Raw genomic sequence first — 22,468 nt, forward strand, 5'->3', positions numbered from 1 at the left:
AGGTTCAAGTGATTCTCCCAAGTTCAAGTGATTCTCGTGCCTCAGCCCCCAAGGAGCTGGGATTACAGGCGTGCATCACCATGCCCAGCTAATTTTTTGTTTTTAGTAGAGATGGGGTTTCACCATGTTGGCCAGGCTGGTCTCGAACTCCTGACCTCAGGTGATCCGCCTGCCTCGGCCTCCAAAAGTGCTGGGATTACAGGTGTGAGCCACCACGCCCGGCCACCGTATTTTATAGTTTTTAATAATTGAAAAATAATCAAAAGAAAAACAGTATTTTGTGACTTGCAAACATTCTGTGGACTTCATCTTTTCGTGTCCATAAATAAAGTTTACAGAATGAACGTCCCCTGCCCGCTGACATAGTACTGTCTGTGGCTACTCTGGCACTACAGCTGCAAGGTCCCATGGCTATGACAGAGACCATAGGGTCCACTGAGACCTTAAAATATTTACTATCTGGCCCTTTACAGAAAGTAGGCCACCCCCACCCTACATCTGGCTATAAATTTTACATATTTGACAAATTCTGAGACCCTGTCTCAGAAAATAAAATAAAATATTCATAGTCTTAATAATGGAAAACAAAAACATTTATTGAATGTCAAAATATCTCCCTAACACCCCGAATCAGTTGGGATCTACATAAAAAACAATTATGCTCTGCTTTCCAATCATGATTTTTAAAAGAACAAAGGACAAAAAAATTCATCAAATGTGGGCCGGGCATGGTGGCTCACACCTGTAAACCCCACACTTTGGGAGGCCGAGGTGGGCAGATCATGAGGTCAGGAGTTCAAGACCAGCCTGACCAAGATGGTGAAACTCCATCTTTATTAAAAATACAACAATTAGCTGGGCATGGTGGAGGGTGCCTGTAATCCTAGCTACTCAGGAGGCTGAGGCAGAGAACTGCTTGAACCGGGGAGGCAGTGGTTGCAGTGAGCCAAAATCATGCCGCTACACTCCAGCCTGAGCGACAGAACAAGACTCCCTCTCGAGAGGAAAAAACACACAAAAAATATTCATCAAATGTAATGAATAAAACATATACTTTGGATTTTGCCATGTACTTAGCTTTTCTTAGAGCACCTTTTAGAACTATTGTTTCACAGAAAACACTTTGGGAAAAATTTTAATTTATAAACAAATACTGGAGGGCTAGGAAGAAGAGGTTAAAACTTTTTAAAATATACAGAATGAATTACTGATACATAAAAAAAAAAAAAAAAAAAGGTTGCTGATTCCTGTCTTGGAAGACACTGTCATATGGACACTCTTAGCCTCAGCATCCAGAGGTCCAGAAAGGGAAAATTTCAAGTCAGAGAGAATTCTATATATACCACTTACTTGGAACATTCAGCCCTCAAAATCCCAACATCATGACCTCAGTTTCAACACAATTGTCCTTAGTCCTTATGTCACTGCTTTTGGTGCTGCCTGCTGTCAAGGCAGTGGAAGCCAGTGATGCAACTGCTCTCTCGTTAAAAGGTGTGGTTCTCAGTATTACAGGTGTTTGTACTTGCTTGCGGGCATACGCACGAAAGATAAAAATGAACAGATGTGACTTTGAAGGGCCTAATGAATGAAACCTCACCCTGAAAACCTTTGTGCTACTGAAACTAAATGTAAGCTTTGGTGTCTGAAAGTTTCCAAGAATTACTAAGTAGGAGAGTTTTACTTTCTGAGTTGATTCCATGAAATGGGAACAAATTGGTACATAAATGGATTTTGCCCAGAATCCTAGGAAATCGCCACTGTTCAGTCGTAATCACTGCCTCCTAAATCACTGAGTCTGTTCTCTGTATTTTTATTAGACTTTTGTCATCTCCCAAATTCAGATATCCAATAGTCAGCCAAAAAGGGAAACTTTTATCTCTGGAAAGAAAAAAAATCACTTAGAAAAATGTATTCAGTGTATCTAATACTGAAATGGAGAAAAGACTTAATGTTAAAGAAAAAAAAAACACTATAGACATTGACATGGAAAAGAGATTTAATGTTAAAAAAACTTTATATTAACTGAGTAACACCTCCTGATGAGAAGTGCTATATTAAATATAAACCCATTATGTTGTTTAAAAAAAAAAACATGAAAATCAAAAGCACTAAACAGAGTGAAAGAAGCCAGACACAGAAGAACCCGACTACGTGATTCCATGTATGGAGTTCTAGAACAGGCGCAATTTGTCAAATGCTGGAGAAACATCAGGCCAACTATTGCCTCTGGGAAGAAGGGGCAGGACACCAGAGAACTTTCTGAGCAAGAGTCATGATAAAGATGTGGGTTACATGGGTTACATTTGTCAAAACTTGTGAAATGGTAAACTCAAAATAGATACATTTCATTATATACAAATTTTACCTGAAAGTCAAAAACAAAGTTGAACTAGAATCAATTACATACATGAGTGTCTAAGGAGCTAGGTGAGACAAACGGTGGATGGACAGACAGCAGGATGTGGAGCCAAATACGGTGGCAGAACATGGAGGTGGGTCTGCAGCCACTCACTGTACACGTCTGTCAGTTATTGTGTGTGTGTGTGTGTGTGTGTGTGTGTGTGTGAATATTTTCAAACAAATATAAAAAATAAATTAAAATAAAAACACAGGTAACTCTGCTTGACACTGAAACTGAAAAGGGAGACTAATACTTTTTCCCATGGTTTGTTTTGTGTTTTTTGTTTTTTTTTTTTTTGAGATGGAGTCTCACTCTGTCACCCAGGCTGGAGTGCAGTAGCACAATATCTGCTCACTGCAACCTCCACCTCCCGGCTCCAAGCAATTCTCCTGCCGTGCCCTCCCAAGTAGCTGGGATTACAGGCGCCCGCCACTATGCCTGGCTAATTTTTGTATTTTTTAGTAGAGACGGGGTTTCACCATGTTGGCCAGGCTGGTCTCAAACTCCCAACCTCAAATGATCTGCCCGCCTCAGCCTCCCAAAGTGCTGGAATTACAGGCATGATCCACCACGCCCGATCCCCATGTACTTTCAAGTGGACACCATCCCCATTCATTCCACAAAAGAAGAAGAAATACTTGCCAGGCACGGTGGCTCACGCCTATAATCCCAGCACTTTGGGAGGCTGAGGCGGGCGGATCACGAGGTCAGGAGCTCGAGACCATCCTGGCTAACACGGTGAAACCCTGTCTCTACTAAAAAATACAAAAAATTAGCCGGGCGTGGTGGCGGGCGCCTGTAGTCCCACCTACTTGGGAGGCTGAGGCAGGAGAATGGCATGAACCCGGGAGGTGGAGCGTGCAGTGAGCTGAGATCGCGCCACTGTACTCCAGCCTCAGCAACAGAGCAAGACTCCTTCCCCCCCAAAAAAAAGAAGAAGAAGAAATACTTTCTTCAGACTAATGCTCTCCCAACTGAGCTATTTCAACTTAGAATAAATACTTTCTAAAGTGGTAGCTTTATCCACGTTGATGACTCTCAAGCAGGGGGACCAACGAACTTCAACAGTGGTTCTCAACCAAGGATCTTTTCAGATTCAACAAGTTTAGGGTGTATACAAGCAGCCATTTTTTTAAACCTCAATGGGGACTCTGAAACACAGCCACTGTTATGAACAACATAATGATAGTCTTACTGAGCATGCAAAACTACAAAGCTAAATAAGATTGTTCAATGGCATTTCCTTGCAGGCCAAAGGCTTCCAATAAGTGTGTAATACACCCCCAAAGAACACCACAAATGCAGCAAGATGGTTTTGCAATAAAAATGCCTTCAATTAACGTAAAACAATAAAATCCGAGCAGCTTGTATTAACTACCATTTTAGACAACAATCTCCAAAGTAAAAAGCAAAACTTCAAAGAGTTAAGCTCAAAGCTCCTGTTCCTATAGCACATTACAAAATTTCTATAAAATGCATTTTATAATGGTCTTTACCAAATAAAAAACACTAGTTAAAGGCCCTTACCTTTTCTAGGAGGGAGCTCTCCGTTCTGGGTTGATTCTGTTCCAGTGTATACAATTTCTCCATCTTTAACCATTTCATTCCACAGACCACAGAGCCCATCTCTTGTGAATGCAAGCTGGCAATGATAAACGAGATAAGCTTACAGAGTGCTCACACTCACATTGCAATTTTTAAAGAATGATATGGGAAAAAAATCTCAATCCCCCTTATGTATTCGATCATTTGGTAATAAAATCAATGATTTACTGAATTAGTGATTTAATCATTTTACATTTCAGGAAAGTCATCCAAGAAATATAAATGAAAAGGTGCATAATAGTATAAATACTATGCTACCTCTTATGTAACATACAAGAAAAATGACACGTGGTCGGGCGAGGTGGCTCATGCTTGTCATCCCAGCACTTTGGGAGGCCGAGCGGGGCACATCACGGGGGATCAGGAATTTGAGACCAGCCTGGCCAACACGGTGAAACCCCGTCCCAACTAAAAATACAAAAAATTAGCCAGGCGTGGTGGCGGGCGCCTGTAATCCCAGCTACTCACGAAGCTGAGGCAGGAGAATTGCTTGAACCCAGGAGGCAGAGGTTGCAGTGAGCCAAGATCGCACCACTGCACTCAGCCTGAGTGACAAGAGCGAGACTCGGTGTTAAAAAAAAAAAAAAAAGAAAAGAAAAGAAAAAAAAGACACACACACAAACACACACACGTGCATGTGCTCTGAAAAGATAAACCAAAAGCAAGTACCAATGACTACCTACGGGGAAATGGGGAGGGGACATGGACAAAGGCAGCAGGACCAGAAAAAGCAACAACATTGTGAGTATACTTTAGATGTCTTTACTTCTGAAACATACATGACTTTCATCCTCAAAAATTAAAATTAAATCATAAAAAAGCGAAACCTACAACTGGCAACAAGCAAATTAACCCATGCATATACAAAGAAAAGTATGTCAAGGGACTTTTGAACTACATATCATTAATATAATATACTATAATGAAAAATAAAATATTTATCGGTATTGATAACACTCTCACAATTTTAGAACTACTTCATGTTGCACAATAAAGCAGTGTAAATACAATAAAACATGTTTATGATAAAGTATTAAATGTTCTTAGAAATTAAGGTTTTAGGCCGGCCACGGTGGCTCACACCCGTAATCCCAGCATTTGGCAGGCCAAGGCAGGTAAATCACTTGAGGTCAGGAGTTCATGACCAGCCTGGCCAACATGGTGAAACCCCATCTCTACTAAAAATATGAAAAATTAGCCGGGTGTGCTGGTGCATGCCTGTAATCCCAGTCACTCGGGAGGCTGAAGCAGAAGACTAGCATGAACCCAGGAGGCAGAGGTTTCAGTGAGCCGAGATTATGTCACTGCGCTCCAGCCTGGGTAAACAGAACGAGACTCCATCTCAAAAAAAAAAAAAAAAAAAAAAAAAAAAAATTAAGGTTTTCAGTGGAAAAGAGGAAAAAAAATCAAAGAAATTTTGAAAAACAACTTAAATTGGAAATCTATGAACTTTATTTTTGAATATATTTGCTTACTCTGTTTTTTAAAGGACTAGAATCAAAGGCAATCTGACAGCGGCACCCAGATTTTGGTCTCTCAGAACCATTTCCCAATAAAAGACGCTAGGGCTCTAGGGAAAATAAGTAGATTCAAGGGCCAGGGCAGACAAAGATGAGCCTGTTTCCTCAAAGAAAAAGCTGTTTCCTCAAACATGGCCAGGTGCGGTGGCTCACGCCTATAATCCTAGCATTTTGGGAGGCTGAGGCGGGCAGATCACTTGAGGTCAGGAGTTCGAGACCAGCCTAGCCAACATGCCGAAACCCCATCTCTTCTAAAAATACAAAAATTAGCTGGGCATGGTGGCAGGCGCCCATAATCCCAGCTACTTGGGAGGCTGAGGCAGGAGAATAGCCTGAACCCAGGAGGCCAAGGTTGCAGTGGGCCAAGACTATGCCACTGCACTCCAGCCTGGGTGACAGAGCAAGACTTTACCTCAAACAAAAAAAAAAAGCAGCTGTTCAAAGACTGATAGGGACTCCTGACCAAATTTATAATAATTATAATAACTGTGAGCATCAAAATCAAAAACGCCTTTGCTTGTCAACATTTGTGAGTCAGAAAAGGCTTCCCAGAACAGGAAAAGGGAGCATTTCAGACACTGGGGGAAGGCATCCATTCTGAAAACTGCGTATGCGACAGAAGCTCCCTTGTCTGGCAAAAAAAAAAAAGCCATTTTTAATTAAAAGAGACACAGATGTTTGCCCATCTTTTTTTTTTTTTAAACTTCTGTGGATACACACTAGTTGTATGTATGTGTATATATATATATATATATATATATATATATATATATATATATATGGGTTATATATTCTATCTAACTTTTTTTTTTTTTTTTTTGAGACGGATCTCGTTCTGGCACTAAGCTGGAGTGCAGTTGTGCGATCTCAGCTCACTGCAACCTTTGCCTTTTGGGTTCAAGGGTTTCTCCTGCCTCAGCCTCCAGAGTAGCTGGGACTACAGGCTCACACCACCACACCCAGCTAATTTTTGTATTTTTGGTAGAGATGGGGTTTCACCGTGTTGGCCAGGATGGTCTGGGTCTCTTGACCTCATGATCCACCTGCCTTGGCCTCCCAAAGAGCTGGGATTACAGGCGTAAGCCACTGTGCCCAGCCCTATCTAACTCCATTTTTATACCCATTAACCATCCGCACTTCACCCCCACTTTATCCTTCCCAGTCTCTGATAACCATCATTCTACTCTATCTCCATGAGTTCAATTACTTTCATTTGCTTAGCACCTACAAATAAGTGAGAACATGCAAAGTTCGATTTTCTGGGTCTGGCTCATGACATTCTGTTCCTGACTTAACGTAACGACCTCCAGTTCTATCCATGTTGTTGCAAACGGCAGTATCCCATTCTTTTTCATGGTTGAATAGTACTCCGTTGAGTATATATACCACATTTTCTTCATCCATTCATCTGCTGGGAACACTTAGGTTGCTTCCAAATCTTGGCTATTGAGAATAGTGCTGCAATAAACATGAGAGTGTACATATTTCTTCAACATACTGATATTCTTTCCTCTGGGTATATACCTACCAGTGGGATTGCTGAATCATATGATAGTCCTATTTTTAGTTTTTTGAGGAACCTCCAAGCTAATCTCCATAATGGCTGTGCTAATTTACATTCCCACCAACAGTGCACAAGGGTTCCCTTTTCTCTATATTCTTGCCAGCATTTGTTCTTGTCTTTTGGATATAAGCCATTTTAATTAGGGTGAGATAATATCTCATTATAGTTTTGATTTGCATGTCTCTGATGACCAACCATGTTGAGCACCTGTTCGTACTGCCTGTTTGTCATTTGTATATCTTCTTTTGAGAAATGTCTATTCAAATCTTTTGCCCATTCTTATTGGATTATTAGATTTTTTTCTTATAGAGGTGCTTAAGCTAATTATATATTCTGGTTATTAATCCTTTGTCAGATGGGTAGTTTGCAAATATTTTCTCCCATTCTGTGGGTTGTCTCTTCATTTTGTTGATTGTTTCCTTTGCTGTGCAGCTTTTTAACTCAATGTGATCCCACTTGTCCATTTTAGCTTTGGTTGCCTGTGTTTACGAAGTATTACTCAAGAAATCATTACCCAGTGCAATGTCCTGGAGAGTCTCCCCAATGTTTTCTTTTAGCACTTTCATAGTCTGAAGTCTTAGGTTTAAGTCTTTACTCCATTTTGATGTGATTTTCGTATATGGTGAGAGATAGCGGTCTAGTTTCATTTTTCTGCATATGGGTGTCCCATTTTCCCAGCACCATTTATCAATGAGGCTATCCTTTCCCTCACGTATCCTCCGGGCACCTCTGTCAAAGGTGAGTTCACTGTAGATGTATAGATCTGTTTCTGGGTTCTCTATTCTGTTCCATTGGTCTAGGTGTCTGTTTTTATACCAGTACCATGCTGTTTTGGTATACCTTTCTAGTAAACTTTGCACTTGATCTAAGCCAAAAAAGACCAGGAAGTGACTGTAGTATAATTTTAAGTCAGGTAATGCAATTTCTCCAGTTTTGTTTTTTGCTCAGGATGGCTTTGGCTATTCTGTCTCTTTTGTGATTCCATACAAATTTCAGGATTTTTTTTTTCTATTTCTGTGAAGAATGTCATTGGTATTTTGATAGGGATTACATTGAACCTGTAGATTGCTTTGGGTAGTACAGACATTTTAACAATATTGATTCTTCCAATCCATGAACACGGAGTATCTTTTCCTTTTTTGTGTGTCTTCTTCAATTTTCTGCATCACTGTTTTACAGTTTTCGTGGTAGAGATCTTTTCACTTCTTGGGTTAGTTTTATTCCTACGTATTTTACTTTATTTGTAGCTATTATAAATGGAATTATTTTTCTTGATTTTTCATATTGTTCACTGTTGACATACAGAAATGCTACTGATTTGGCCGGGCACAGTGGCTCATACCTGTAATCCCAGCACTTTGGGAGGCCAAGGCAGGCGGATCACCTGAGGTCAGGAGTTCAAGACCAGCCTGGCCCATGTGGTGAAACCCTGTCTCTACTAAAAATACAAAAATTAGCCAGGCCTGGTGGCAGGCGCCTGTAATGCCAGCTACTCAGGCAGCTAAGGCAGGAGGATCGCTTCAACCCAGGAGGCAGAGGTTGCAGTGAGCCGAGATTGCGCCATTGCTTTCCAGCCTGGGCCACAGAGTGAGACTCCATCTCAAAAAAAAAAAAAAAAAAAAAAAAAAACAGAGAAATGCTACAGATTTTTGTATGTTAATTTAGTATCCTGCAATTTTACTGAATTTATCAGTTCTAATCATTTTTTGGTGGAGTTTTCAGGTTTTTCCAAATATAACAATCATCTGCAAACAAGAATAACTTGGCATCTTCATTTCCAATTTGGATGCCCTTTATTTCTTCTTTTTTTTTTTTTTTTCCTGAGATGGAGTCTTGCTCTGTAGCCCAGGCTGGAATATAGCGGCACAATCTCAGCTCACTGCAATCTCCACCTCCGGGGTTCAAGTGATTTCCCTGCCTCAGCCTCCCGAGTAGCTGGGACAACAGACACCCGCCACCACGCCTAGCTAATTTTTATATTTTTAGTAGAGACAGGGTATCACCGTGTTGGCCAGGCTTCAAACTCCTGACCTCAAGTGATCCACTCACCTCAGCCTCCCAAAGTGCTGGGATTACAGGTGTGAGCCACTGCACCCGGCCTTTCTCTCTCTTATCTGACTCCTCTAGCAAGGGCTTCCATTTTTTTTTTTTTTTTTTTTTTTATACTTTAAGTTTTAGGGTACATGTGCACATTGCGCAGGTTAATTACATATGTATACATGTGCCATGCTGGTGTGCTGCACCCACTAACTCGTCATCTAGCATTAGGTATATCTCCCAATGCTACCCCTCCCCCCTCCCCCCACCCCACCCCACCACAGTCCCCAGAGTGTGATATTCCCCTTCCTGTGACCATGTGATCTCATTGTTCAATTCCCACCTATGAGTGAGAATATGCGGTGTTCGGTTTTTTATTCTTGCGATAGTTTACTAAGAATGATGGTTTCCAATTTCATCCATGTCCCTACAAAGGACATGAACTCATCATTTTTTATGGCTGCATAGTATTCCATGGTGTATATGTGCCACATTTTCTTAATCCAGTCTATCATTGTTGGACATTTGGGTTGGTTCCAAGTCTTTGCTATTGTGAATAATGCCGCAATAAACATACGTGTGCATGTGTCTTTATAGCAGCATGATTTATAGTCATTTGGGTATATACCCAGTAATGGGATGGCTGGGTCAAATGGTATTTCTAGTTCTAGATCCCTGAGGAATCGCCACACTGACTTCCACAATGGTTGAACTAGTACCAAAACAGACATATAGATCAATGGAACAGAACAGAGCCCTCAGAAATAACGCCGCATACCTACAACTATCTGATCTTTGACAAACCTGAGAAAAACAAGCAATGGGGAAAGGATTCCCTATTTAATAAATGGTGCTGGGAAAACTGGCTAGCCATATGTAGAAAGCTGAAACTGGATCCCTTCCTTACACCTTATACAAAAATCAATTCAAGATGGATTAAAGATTTAAACGTTAGACCTAAAACCATAAAAACCCTAGAAGAAAACCTAGGCATTACCATTCAGGACATAGGCGTGGGCAAGGACTTCATGTCCAAAACACCAAAAGCAATGGCAACAAAAGCCAAAATTGACAAATGGGATCTAATTAAACTAAAGAGCTTCTGCACAGCAAAAGAAACTACCATCAGAGTGAACAGGCAACCTACAACATGGGAGAAAATTTTCGCAACCTACTCATCTGACAAAGGGCTAATATGCAGAATCTACAATGAACTCAAACAAATTTACAAGAAAAAAACAAACAACCCCATCAAAAAGTGGGCGAAGGACATGAACAGACACTTCTCAAAAGAAGACATTTATGCAGCCAAAAAATACATGAAAAATGCTCATCATCACTGGCCATCAGAGAAATGCAAATCAAAACCACTATGAGATACCATCTCACACCAGTTAGAATGGCAATCATTAAAAAGTCAGGAAACAACAGGTGCTGGAGAGGATGTGGAGAAATAGGAACACTTTTACACTGTTGGTGGGACTGTAAACTAGTCCATTATTATATTGAATAACAGTGGTGACAGTGGGCATCCGTGTCTTGTTCCAGATCTTAGAGGAAAGGCTTTCAGTTTTTCACCTTTCAGTATGATACTAGCTGTGTGTCAGCTGTATATGGCTTTTATTGCGTTGAGGTGTGTTCCTTCTATAACCAGTTTTTTGGGGGTTTTTATCATGAAAGGATGTTGAATTTTATCAAATGCCTTTTCAGCATGAATTTAAATGATCATATGGTTTTTTATCCTTCATTCTATTGATATGATGTATCAAACTGATTGATTTGGATACGGTGAACCATCCTGGCATCCCTGGGATAAACCCCACTTTGGTCATGATGAATGATGTTTTTAATGTGTTGTTGAATTCGGTTTGCTGGTATTTTGTTGGGTATTTCCGCATCAATGTTCATCTGGGATACTGGCCTGTTTTGTTTTTTTGATTATGTCTTTGTCTGGTTTTGGTATCAGGGTAATATTGGCCTTCTACAATAAGTTTGGATGTATTCCCTCCTCCTCTATTTTTCAGAATAGTTTCACTAGGATTGGTAACAGTTCTTCTTTAAATGTTTGGTAAAATTCAGCAGTGAAGTCACCAGGTCCTGGGGTTTTTCTTTGCTGGAAGACTTTTTATTATTACAGTTTCAATCTCATTACCTGTTATTGGTATGTTCAGGTTCTGGATTTCTTCATGGTTCAAACTTGGAAGGCTGTATGTGCCTGTGAAATTATCCATTTCTTTTTCCTTCTTTTTTTGAAGACACAGTCTCACTCTGTCACCCAGGCTGGAGTGCAGTAACATGATCTCAGCACACTGCAACCTCCACCTCCCAGGCTCAAGTGATTCTCGTGCCTCAGCCTTCCAAGTGGCTGGAATTACAGGCACACAAAACCACACCTGGTTAATTTTTGTATTTTTAGTAGAGTTGGAGTTTCACCATGTTGGCCAGACTGGTCTCGAACTCCTGACCTCAAGTGACCCACCCGCCTCAGCCTCCCAAAGTGCTGGGATTACAGGCATGAGCCACCACGCCCGGCCTGCAAACTTATCTATTTCTTCCACGTTTCCCAATTTATTGACATATAGCTGTTCATAGTCTCTAATGACCCTTTGAATTTCTGCAATATCAGTTGTAATGCCTACTTTTTCACCTCTGATTTGGGTCTTCTTTTTCTCTTAGCCTGCCTGAAGGCTTGTCAATTTATCTTTTAGAAAAACCAACTTTTCATTTCATTGATCTTTTGTATTATTTTCTTCATTTCAACTCCATTTTATTTCTGCTCTAATTTTTATTATTTCTGTCCTTAAAATTATGGGTTTGGTTAGCTCCTTCTTTTCTAGTTCTTTAAGATGTATCATTAGGTTATTTATTTGAAGTTTTTCTACTTTTTTGATTTTCCTCTTAGTACTGCTTTAACTATATCCCACAGATTTCGTATGCTGTGTTGCCATTGCCATTTGTTTCAAGAAACTGTTTAATTTCACTCTTAATTTCTTCACTGACCTGTTGGTCATTCAGGAGCATATTGTTTAATTCCCATGTGTTGGTGGAGTTTCCAAAATTCCTCGTTATCAATTTTTAGTTATAGTCCATGTGATCAGAGAAGATACTTAACATAATTTTTTTAACTTTTATATGGCAAAAGAGGAATCTAGCTTCATTCTTCTGCATATGAATATCAAGTTTTCCCAGCACCATTTATTGAAGAGATTGTCTTTTCCCCAGTGTATGTTCTTGGTACCTTTGTCGAAAATGAGTTCACCGTAGATGTGCGGATTTGTTTCTGGATTCTCTATTCTGTTCCGTTGGTCTGTGTCTGTTTTATGCTAGTACTATGCTGTTTTGGTTACTATAGCTCTGTAGTATAATTTGAAGTCAGGTAATCTGATTCCTCCAGTTTGTTTCTTTTCAATTATGAGAGCTTCGGCTATTCTGGGTCTTTTGTGGTTCAACATGAATTTTAGGATTTTTTTTTTTTCTGTTTCTGTGAAGAATGTCATTGGTATTTTGCTAGGGATTGCACTGAATCGGTAGATTGCTTTGGGTAGTATGGACATTTTAACAATATTGATTCTTCCAATCCATGAAGATGAAATATTTTTCCATCTTTTGTGTCTTCTTTAATGTCTTTCATCAGCGTTTTAGAGTTTTCATTACAGAGATCTTTGTAATTATCTTCTTTGGTTACTTCCCAGGTATTTAATTTCATGTGTGGCTACTATAAATGGGATTACTTTTCTAATTTCTTTTTCATATTGTTTACTGTTGGCACACAGAAATGCTACTGATTTTTGTATGTTGATTTCGTATACTGCAATTGTATTGAATTTATCGGCTCTAATCATTTTCTTGTGGAGTCTTTAGGTTTTTCCAAATATAAGATCATATCATCTGCAAACAAGGATAATTTGACTTCTTCCTTTCCAATGTGGAGGCCTTTTATTTCTTTCTCTTGTCTGATTGCTCTAGCAAGAACTTCCAGTACTATGTTGAATAACAGTGGCCACACTGAGCATCCTTGTCATGTTCCAGATCTTAGAGGAAAGACTTTCAGTTTTTCACCATTCAGTATGATACTAGCTGTGGGTCTGTCATATACGGCTTTTATTATGTTGAGGTATGTTTCTTCCATAACCAGTTTTAAGAGATTTTATCATGAAAGGATGTTGAATTTTATCAAATGCCTTTTCAGCATCGATTGAAATAATCACATGGTTTTTATCCTTCTGTTGACATGATGTATCACATCAATTGATTTGCATATGTTGAACCATCCTTGTACCCCAGGGATAAACCCCACTTGGTCACAATGAACGATCTTTCTAACGTATTGCTGAATTTGGTTTGCTAGTATTTTGTTGAGGATATTTGCATCAATATTCATCAGAGACATTGGCCTGTAGTATTCTTTCTTTGATGTGTCTTTGTCTGCTTTTAGTATCAAGGTTTGAATTTTTAATGACTTATTTTGTGGCCTAACATACGGTCTAACCTTGAGGACGATCCATGTGCTAAAGAGAACAATGTAAATTCTGCAGCCATCAGATGAAATGTTCTAGAAATATCTACTAAATCCATTTGGTCTACAGTGCAGATTAAGTTTGATGTTTCTTCGTTAATTTTGTCTGGATGATCTGATCTGTCCAATGCTGAAAGTGGAGTGTTGAAGCCTCCATCTATTAATGTGTTAAGGCCTATCTCTCTCTTTAGCTGTAATATTTGTTTTATGTATCTGGGTGCTCTAGTGTTGAGTGCATATATACATATATTTATAATAGTTATAGCCTCTTGCTGAATTGGCCCCTTTATCATTACATAATGACTTTTTTGGTCTCCTTTTATAGTTTTGGTCTTGAAATCTATTTGGTCTGATATAACCACTATGCTCTTTTGTGATTTCCATTTACCTCTCCCTTTTTCCATCCCCCCGCACCGTCCTGAAGGGATGGTCTTCAATTTGAAGAAGCAAGCAGCCAATGAACTGCCTGTGGGGAGGGGCAGCCTCCAAGAGCCCAGGGTTTCAGTCCCACAACCACAATGGATTCAATTCTACCAATGAGGACCTGAGCTCCAGATGACAGCGTGCCCTAGCCAACACCTTGACTACAGCCTGTGACACCTGAAGTAGAGGATAGAACTAAGCTATGGCCAGACTCCTGACCCACAGAAACTGTGAGAGTGTAAATGCTTGTTGTTACAAGCTGCCAAATTTGTGTTTGGTAACTTGTTCTGTAGCGACAGAAACCAAGCCAGCATCCTTCAGTTTTTGTAGAAGGAACAGCTTTCTCTCAGCACTCTTATTTTTTCTGTTCACATCACTAACAGGATAACTGCCATAAACATACTTGGAACCAAAACATACGACTTTTGGTAAAAATTATCAGCTGGTGGGGGAGAGGTAAACTCCTTCCAAAAAGTGAGCCCTAGCCAGGTAGAGTGACTCACATCTCTAATCCCAGCACCTTGGAAGACTGAGGCAAGAGAATCACTTGTGCCCAGGAGTTTAAAACCAATCTAGGCAACATAGCAAGACCGTCTCTACAAAAAAATTGTAAAATTAGCCAGAAAGCTGAGCATGGTGGCTCACACCTGTAATCCCAGCACTTGGGAGGCCAAGGCAGGTGAATTGTTTGAGCTCAGGAGTACAAGACCAGCCTGAACAACATGGCAAAACCACATTTCTACCAAAAATACAAAAAATTAGCCAGAGGTGGTGGCGCGCCTGTACTCCCAGCTACTTGGGAGGCTGAGGTGGGAGAACTGCTTGAGACCAGGAGGTAGAGGCTGCAGTGAGTTGAGATCACTCCACTGTACTCCAGCCTGGGCAATAGAGCAAGACCCTATCAAAAAAAAATTTTAATTTAAATTTAAAAAATTAAAATAATATAAAAAATAAAATTAAAAAGTGAGCCGAAAACATTCAGGGCCCCTGAAGTTTAACTAGTGAATGGAAAGGTTTGACTCTTCTAGTCTTCAGTCAGAGGAGGGCAGTGAATACGTGCACTGGGGTTCAGTCCAAACCCTACCACAATGCACATGATAAGAGGCTAACAGCGGTCAGAACTCACAGCTCCATGTGGGCCGTGCTCCAGGAGTTTCAGACTATCTTTAGGCACTCAAGGGAATACGACATTTGACCCGTGTCTTAAAGTGTTTCAGAAAACAGAAACAGAGAAGGTGAACTAAGAAGCTATTACTGGCCACGCACGGTGGCTGACGCCTGTAATCCCAGCACTTTGGGAGGCCGAAGCGGGTGGATCATGAAGTCAGGAGATAAAGACCATCCCGGCTAACACAGCGAAACCCCATCTCTACTAAAAATACAAAAAATTAGCCAGGTGAGGTGGCACGCACCTATAGTCCCAGCTACTCGGGAGGCTGAGGCAAGGGAATTGTTTGAACCTGGGAGGCGGACGTTGCAGTGAGTGGAGATCGCACCACAGCACTCCAGCCTGGGTGACAGAGTGGGACTGCATCTCAAAAAAAAAAAAAAAAAAAAAAAAAAAGGCTATTACCAAGGGTCCAAAAAAGAAAGGATGACAGTAGAAGTCAAGACAGGGAAGTACAGTCTTTAAGATTATTTCAGGCAGGGCACGGTGGCTCACATTTGTAATCCCAGCAGTCTGGGAGGCCGAGGTGGGCAGACTGCTTGAGCCCAGGAGTTCGAGACCAGCCAAAGCAACACGGTGAAACTCGGTCTCTACAAAAAATACAAAAATTAACCAGGCGTGGTGGTACGCACCTGTAGTCCCACTACTCAGGGGGCTGAGGTGGGAGGATCACCTGAGCCCGGGGAGGTTAAGGCTGCAGTGAGCCGTGACGGTGCCACTGCATTCCAGCCTGGGCAACAGAGTGAGACCCTGACTTAAAAAACAAAAAAAGAAACTATTTCAAATCACGTAAGTTAAATCAAATGTGAAAGGGAAAATAAGGGAGGGAACAGAAGAGGAATGAGAATTAGTTCCGTTTTAACCACTAAGATTTGCACTAACTACTGAACATAAACATGGAGCTCCTCCCCACTCCACCAACCCTCAGTAAATATAGATCCAGATCTTAGCAGAGTGTTCAGGGCTAGAGACTCAAATCTGGGAGTAGTCAACAAATGGACTGTAGGTGATGTCCTGGAGAAGATGCCAACACCCAAGCAGAGAGGGGAGACCCCTGCCCAGACCTGAAAGCACTCTAAGATCGCCCCAGACTGGCTGGGCTCCACACATCAGTGTTCTGCGGTACAGCCTAGATTGAGAAACATTAGTGTTACAGAGGTACCATTTTTAAAAAAAAAAGCCAAAAGATGGAACATTTAAAGACTAAGCCAAGGAGGAAGCCCAGTTTACATGGAAACAAGAATAATTACCACCACCTTTCGATTATTACCTGGGTAGCACTGGGAAGGAAGAGGATAGGCCAGACCTTGTCTTTCTGAGTGACAAGGAATTCTTTTTTGGAAGGTAGACACTGGACTCCTGGAAGGACATGCACTGTGGAAGCCTCCTAGGAACTGATGACCCAAATAAATGGTAAGCACCATTCAAAAAACTATTTGGGCACCTTAAAGGTGGAACATTACTAAGGCAATAAAGCAAGCCTCACTGGAGGAGGTCTCCAGAGAGTTAGACTGTGAACAAGCAAAAGTGAAGCCCAGGAGAAGAGCTCTCCAGATCACAGACAGTACAGGATCCTGACTGAGGAAGCAGCAGCCTGGGAACAACTGGAAGACAGCCGTGGCACTGAGAAGAATGGAGACTACAGGCAGGGCGTGGTGGCCCACGCCGTAATCCCAGAGCTTTGGGAGGCCAAGACAGAAGAACTGCTTGAGGCCAAGAGTTCAAGATCAGCCTGGGCAACATGGTAAGACCGTGTCTCTACAGAAATGTAAAAATTACCCAAGTGCATGGCACGTGCCTGTAATCCCAGCTACTCAGGAGGCTACAGCAGGACGGTCACCTGCACCCAGGAGTTTGAGGTTACAGTAAGCTCTGATCACACCACAGCATTCCAACCTGGGTGACAGAGACCCTATTCATAAAAAAAATAAAATAAAATAAAGAAAAAGAAAAAAATGAATGGGACTTTCCATTTGTAAAGTGAGAGTATTTATTTCTACAACTGTCTCCAATTAGCTTTTTATTAGTAGCTGACTTACCTAAACGTGCCCAGTAGATTTTCAACTTTTGACTTTTTTGGTTCAGATCCCAGAAGCTTCTAATTAGGTTATTTGGGCTGAGAACTCTTTTCCAATCTTTTCCAATCTCACATTCCTATCTTACACCTCTGAAGTGACATGGCAAGTAAAGGCACTTTCATCGTCAAAAGACCCCAGCAAAAGAGGCAGTAACAGGCTCACTTTTTGTTAGTTACTAAACTGAAGCTCAGAAGGCCAATGACTTGACCAAAGGCCACACAACACTGAGGCTGTGAGAGGTGGGATTTGGGAAGAGGCCCAACTCCAAGGCTTATTCGCTTCCCACCAACACCATAACATGCACCCACACCTGCAGCACGGCAGCCAGGGCAAGCCTTCACGCTCCCATACATAGGCCACCAATATTTTAATACCAATCAGGACTAGGCAAGCAAACAGTTAAGGCATTTTTTTTTTTTTTTTTTTGAGACAGAGTCTTGCTCTGTCGCCCAGGCTGGAGTGCAGTGGCGCCATCTTGGCTCCCCGGGTTCATGCCATTCTCCTGCCTCAGCCTCCCGAGTAGCTGGGACTACAGGCGCACGCCACCACGCCCGGCTAATTTTTTGTGTATTTTTAGTAGAGACGGGGTTTCACCGTGTTAGCCTGGATGGTCTCGACCTCCTGACCTTGTGATCCACCCGCCTCGGCCTGGGATTACAGGCGGGAGCCACCGCACCCAGCCCGTTAAGGCATTTATTAAAGTGACTTCAGAACTATAGAGTCAGGCAATAAAATCCAAAACTGAATAATATAACAAATGAATATCTGATTAATGTATAGGTTAGAAAATGTTTCTTTTTCATGTCCTTACAATTTGACAGAAAAGTAATCTTCAAATATTTGCAGATGAGTAAAGGTATATGGCTTTTTTTCTTAAACCTACAGAAAAATACTAAACATCTATTGAACGTAGGACAACATATAAAAAATGTTAAGAACAGGTTCCTAGAACAATTAGAAAGGTCAGACAGGAACATTAAGTACGTCGATTTGAAGACATCCTAGAAGCAGTAAGATAGTGAGGTCTTCCTAAAGTCTGAGACCCACGAGAGGAAGAAAGAGGCCCAGAGAACCTAAGCAAGCAGGGATGAGACTGAGAAGCAAAACGGAGCTTCTGAGAGACTCCCAGGGCCCTCACACAGGAGAAAGAGGCCTGGCAGACCCCATGCTCTGAGCTGGAACCTCAAAGGGCCACACACCAGAAATACAGGTGAGTTAGAAGTAGACCAGCCTTTACGGAAAACCAGCCCAGTTTCGCATTCTCTCAATTTCCAAAGGGACTGCAGTGACCTGGGATTGCCTAGAACATCCTCTCTGGGGGAAGTTATTGTTACCCAGAGCCTCGACTTATTGCTACAATATTGCATATACAATATCTGAAAGTCAAGCAAATATAATAATGACAAAGATACAAGACCACATCATTGAAAAATGAAAAAAAAAATAGAAGTCAACAGAACAGACCAAGAGTAGATCCTGAAAACAGAAATATAAAGACTTCTATCATGAAAGAAGAGCCTGAGGAATGAACTAAAGTGTTAACACTCTGCTCAGCAGATGTCAGCTCGGAACAATGGGGTGAGGGAAGTGGGAAAGTGAGACAAGGAGATCAATGAAGCAACGGTATGCAGTATATGACTTCACAGTCAGCTAAGTGTGATTTTAGCCTACTCTGCCTATGTAGGAGCCATTCTTATTTCCTTTAATTTCCTAAAAAAAGAAAAACATATATTTAAAAAGTGATTTTATATTTTTCAATGGTTGCAACATAATCAAAAGAATCATATGTCAGCCAAGCACGGTGGCTCACACCTGTCATCTCAGACTTTGGGAGGCCAAGGCGGGCGGATCATGAGGTCAGGAGTTCAAGACCAGCCTGGCCAACATGATGAAACCCCGTCTCTACTAAAAATACAAAAAAAAAAATTAGCCAGGAATGATGGTACACGCCTGTAATCCCAGCTACTCCGGAGTCTGAGGCAGGAGAATTGCTTAAACCCAGGAGGTGGAGGTTGCAGTGAGCCAAGATCGCGCCACTGCACTCCAGCCTGGGCAACAGAGCAAGACTCCCTCTCAGGAAAAAAAAAAAAAAAATCATATGTCAACACATGAAAATTATCTGACATTCAAATTTTCCTGGAATATAGCCATACACATCTGGCAGCTTCTCGCAGGACAATAGCCAAGGTGAGTTGTTATAAAAGAGCACGTACGGCCCACATAAACATTTACTATCTGGTGCTTTATAGAAAAAATGTGCTGACTCCTATGTTACTGCCACCTCTTCTCAATGAGCTGCAAATACAACCAATTGTTCAGCCAGCACATTCACTAGGCACATGTGGCTTTTCCAGAAGGTCTGCAAGAAGAAACTACACCATAAAATAGTCCAAGGAGGAAAGAAAAAGGGGAGGAATAAAAACACTGAGTTCCCTCATCTCTCCTTGTAAAGTGGTGAACGTTCATACCACAGGGAATTCACACCCACACTCGCCACACCTTCCAGGCTGTGTCACTGGCTCCTTGGTAGGCAGTCAGGAAGCCATACTCCAACTCTCTTGCGTGACATCACAGCGGAGACTGGAGCCGAAGGGCGGCTCACAGGCATGAGTCAACCAAGAGGGACAGAGAGAGGCGGCTAAGGAATCTATGGGGTCGGACAAGGTTTATAAACACACTTTTAAAATAACTACCTTTAATAGGGTCAAGCAATTAAAAGATCCTATTAACAGCCGGGCACGGTTCATGCTTGTACTCCCAGCACTTTGGGAGGCCAAGGCAGGTGGATCACGAGCTCAGGAGTTCAAGACCAGCCTGGGCAACATGGTGAAACCCCATCTCTACTAAAAATATAAAAAATTATCTGGCTCTCGGCGTTAGCGCCATTTTCTTGGAAACCTCTGCGCCATGAGAGCCAAGTGGAGGAAGAAGCGAATGCGCAGGCTGAAGCGCAAAAGAAGAAAGATGAGGCAGAGGTCCAAGTAAACCGCTAGCTTGTTGCACTGTGGAGGCCACAGGAGCAGAAACATGGAATGCCAGACGCTGGGGATGCTGGTACAAGTTGTGGGACTGCATGCCACTGTCTAGAGCTTGTCTCAATGGATCTAGAACTTCATCGCCCTCTGATCGCCGATCACCTCTGAGACCCACCTTGCTCATAAACAAAATGCCCATGTTGGACCTCTGCCCTGGACCTGTGACATTCTGGACTATTTCTGTGTTTATTTGTGGCCGAGTGTAACAACCATATAATAAATCACCTCTTCCGCTGTTTAAAAAAAAAAAAAATTATCTGGGTGTGGTGGTGCACACTTGGAATTCCAGCCACTTAGGAGGCTGAGGCATGAGAATGGCTTGAACCTGGGAGGTGGAGGTTGCAGTGAGCTGAGATACTGCTACTGTACTCCAACCTGGGCAACAGAGTGAGACTCTGTCTCAAAAAAAAAAAAAAAAAAAAAAAAAGGAATTGTCATCAAAGTCCTACGGCTAAACCCTTTTCCTTTTTTTTTAATAACTAGTATTACTAGTCTTTTCCAAGAACCAAAGTTAAAAGTTAGTTCTTTAAAACACCAGGCCAGGCACAGTGGCTCATACATGTAATCACAGCACTTTGGGAGGCCAAGGCAGGAGGATCACTTGAATGCAGGTGTTCTAGACCAGCCCGGACAACAAAGAAAGACCCTGCCTCTACAAAAAAAAATTTTTTTGCTGCAAAATGCTCTCAATTAACCTGACAAAATGTCACATACAGGGTTACTACATCTTTTTTATCATGGAATTTTGAAAACAAAAATTGTTCTATTGAGGCACCAGTATTTGGATATTAGAGGTAAAAACCACCCTTAGAATCCAGTCCTAAAAACGTCAATGAAGACTCCCATGTTTACAAATTCTTTTATTTCTACATGTCATCTATCAACTGGATTATGAACCTGAAAGCCTGAGAACAGAATTTATCAAGATACTCATGTTTATACTTTTTTTATCTACTGATCGTTTTTATTTTTTTTGAGACGGATTCTCGCTCTCTCACCAGGCTGTAGTGCAGTGGCGCGATCTCGGCTCACTACAACCTCCGCCTCCTGGGTTCAAGCGATTCTCCTGCCTCAGCCTCCTGAGTAGCTGGGACTACAGGCACGTGCCACCACACCCAGCTAATTTTTGTATTTTTAGTAGAGATGGGGTTTCACCATGTTGGCCAGGATGACCTCGATCTCCTGACCTCAGCCTCCCAAACTGCTAGGATTACAGGCTGAGCCACCACACCCAGCCATGTAGCCATCTACTGATATTTCTAAGCATGAAGTGACAATTTTTTTTTTTGAGATGGAGTCTTGCTGTGTTGGCCAGGCTGGAGTGCAATGGCATGATCTCGGCTCACTGCAACCTCCACCTCCTGGGTTCAAGCACTTCTCCTGCCTCAACCTCCCAAGTAGCTGGGATTACAAGCGCACACTACCACGCCTGACTCTTTTGTATTTTTAGTAGAGACAGGGTTTCACCATGGGCGCCAGGCTGGTTTTGAACTCCTGACCTCAAGTGATCCGCCCTCCTCGGCCTCCCAAAGTGCTGTGATTACAGGCGTGAGCCACCGCGCCCAGCCGAAGTGACAATATTTATATACAATAAGCTTAACTCTAAGAGCTTACATTTATGCGTAGTCATTCTTAATTGATGATTAGAGGAAGAGACAAATAAATGGTCCCAGTTTAGCTACTGATATACTCAACAAACCTTGACGGACCTGAGGGCATTATGCTGAGTAAAGAAAATCATTTCCGAAGGTCACATATCACTTGGTAATCTCACAGTAACAAAATTATAGAGATGGAGAACAGATTAGTGGTTGTCAGGAGTTAGAGATGGTGGCAGAAGAGAGGCAGGAGAGACATCTTTGTAGTGATGAAACAGTTCTGCATAGGAAATTGTAGTAGTAGTTACATTTACAGACCCTTGATAGAATGGCACAGAACTACGCACACACATTGTACCAACTTCAATTTCTGGGTTTTTATACTCTATTATAATTACATAAAATGTAACCACTGGGGCAGTATGCGCAAATATACAGTGACCTCTCTAGTTTCTTTACAACTTCCTGAGAGTCTATTATTATTTCAAAATAAAAAGTTTTTTAAAAAATTGCTTCATGCCTA

General features: G+C 41.6%; 1 protein-coding gene and 1 pseudogene across 9 annotated transcripts in view; one reads left to right on the top strand and one right to left on the bottom strand.

The window, feature by feature from the left end:
• Positions 1 to 22,468, bottom strand: part of HERC2 (HECT and RLD domain containing E3 ubiquitin protein ligase 2) — a 211,140-nt gene that overhangs the window by 184,434 nt on the left and 4,238 nt on the right. For 5 of the 9 annotated variants that reach the window (XM_006720727.4, XM_006720726.4, NM_004667.6 and 2 more), the window contains exon 3: positions 3,929 to 4,043. In XM_006720727.4, coding sequence (XP_006720790.1) covers positions 3,929 to 4,043 — 115 coding nt within the window. Of the gene's footprint in view, positions 1 to 3,928; positions 4,044 to 4,264; positions 4,332 to 17,273; positions 17,402 to 22,056; positions 22,377 to 22,468 lie in introns of those variants that run through there. The other 4 variants (XM_005268276.6, XM_017022695.1, XM_047433206.1 and 1 more) reach the window with 4 other exon arrangements.
• Positions 20,180 to 20,606, top strand: RPL41P2 (ribosomal protein L41 pseudogene 2; annotated as a pseudogene).

Source organism: Homo sapiens, chromosome 15 (genome assembly GCF_000001405.40).
Source record: "Homo sapiens chromosome 15, GRCh38.p14 Primary Assembly".
In the NCBI taxonomy this organism is placed as follows: Eukaryota; Metazoa; Chordata; class Mammalia; order Primates; family Hominidae; genus Homo; species Homo sapiens.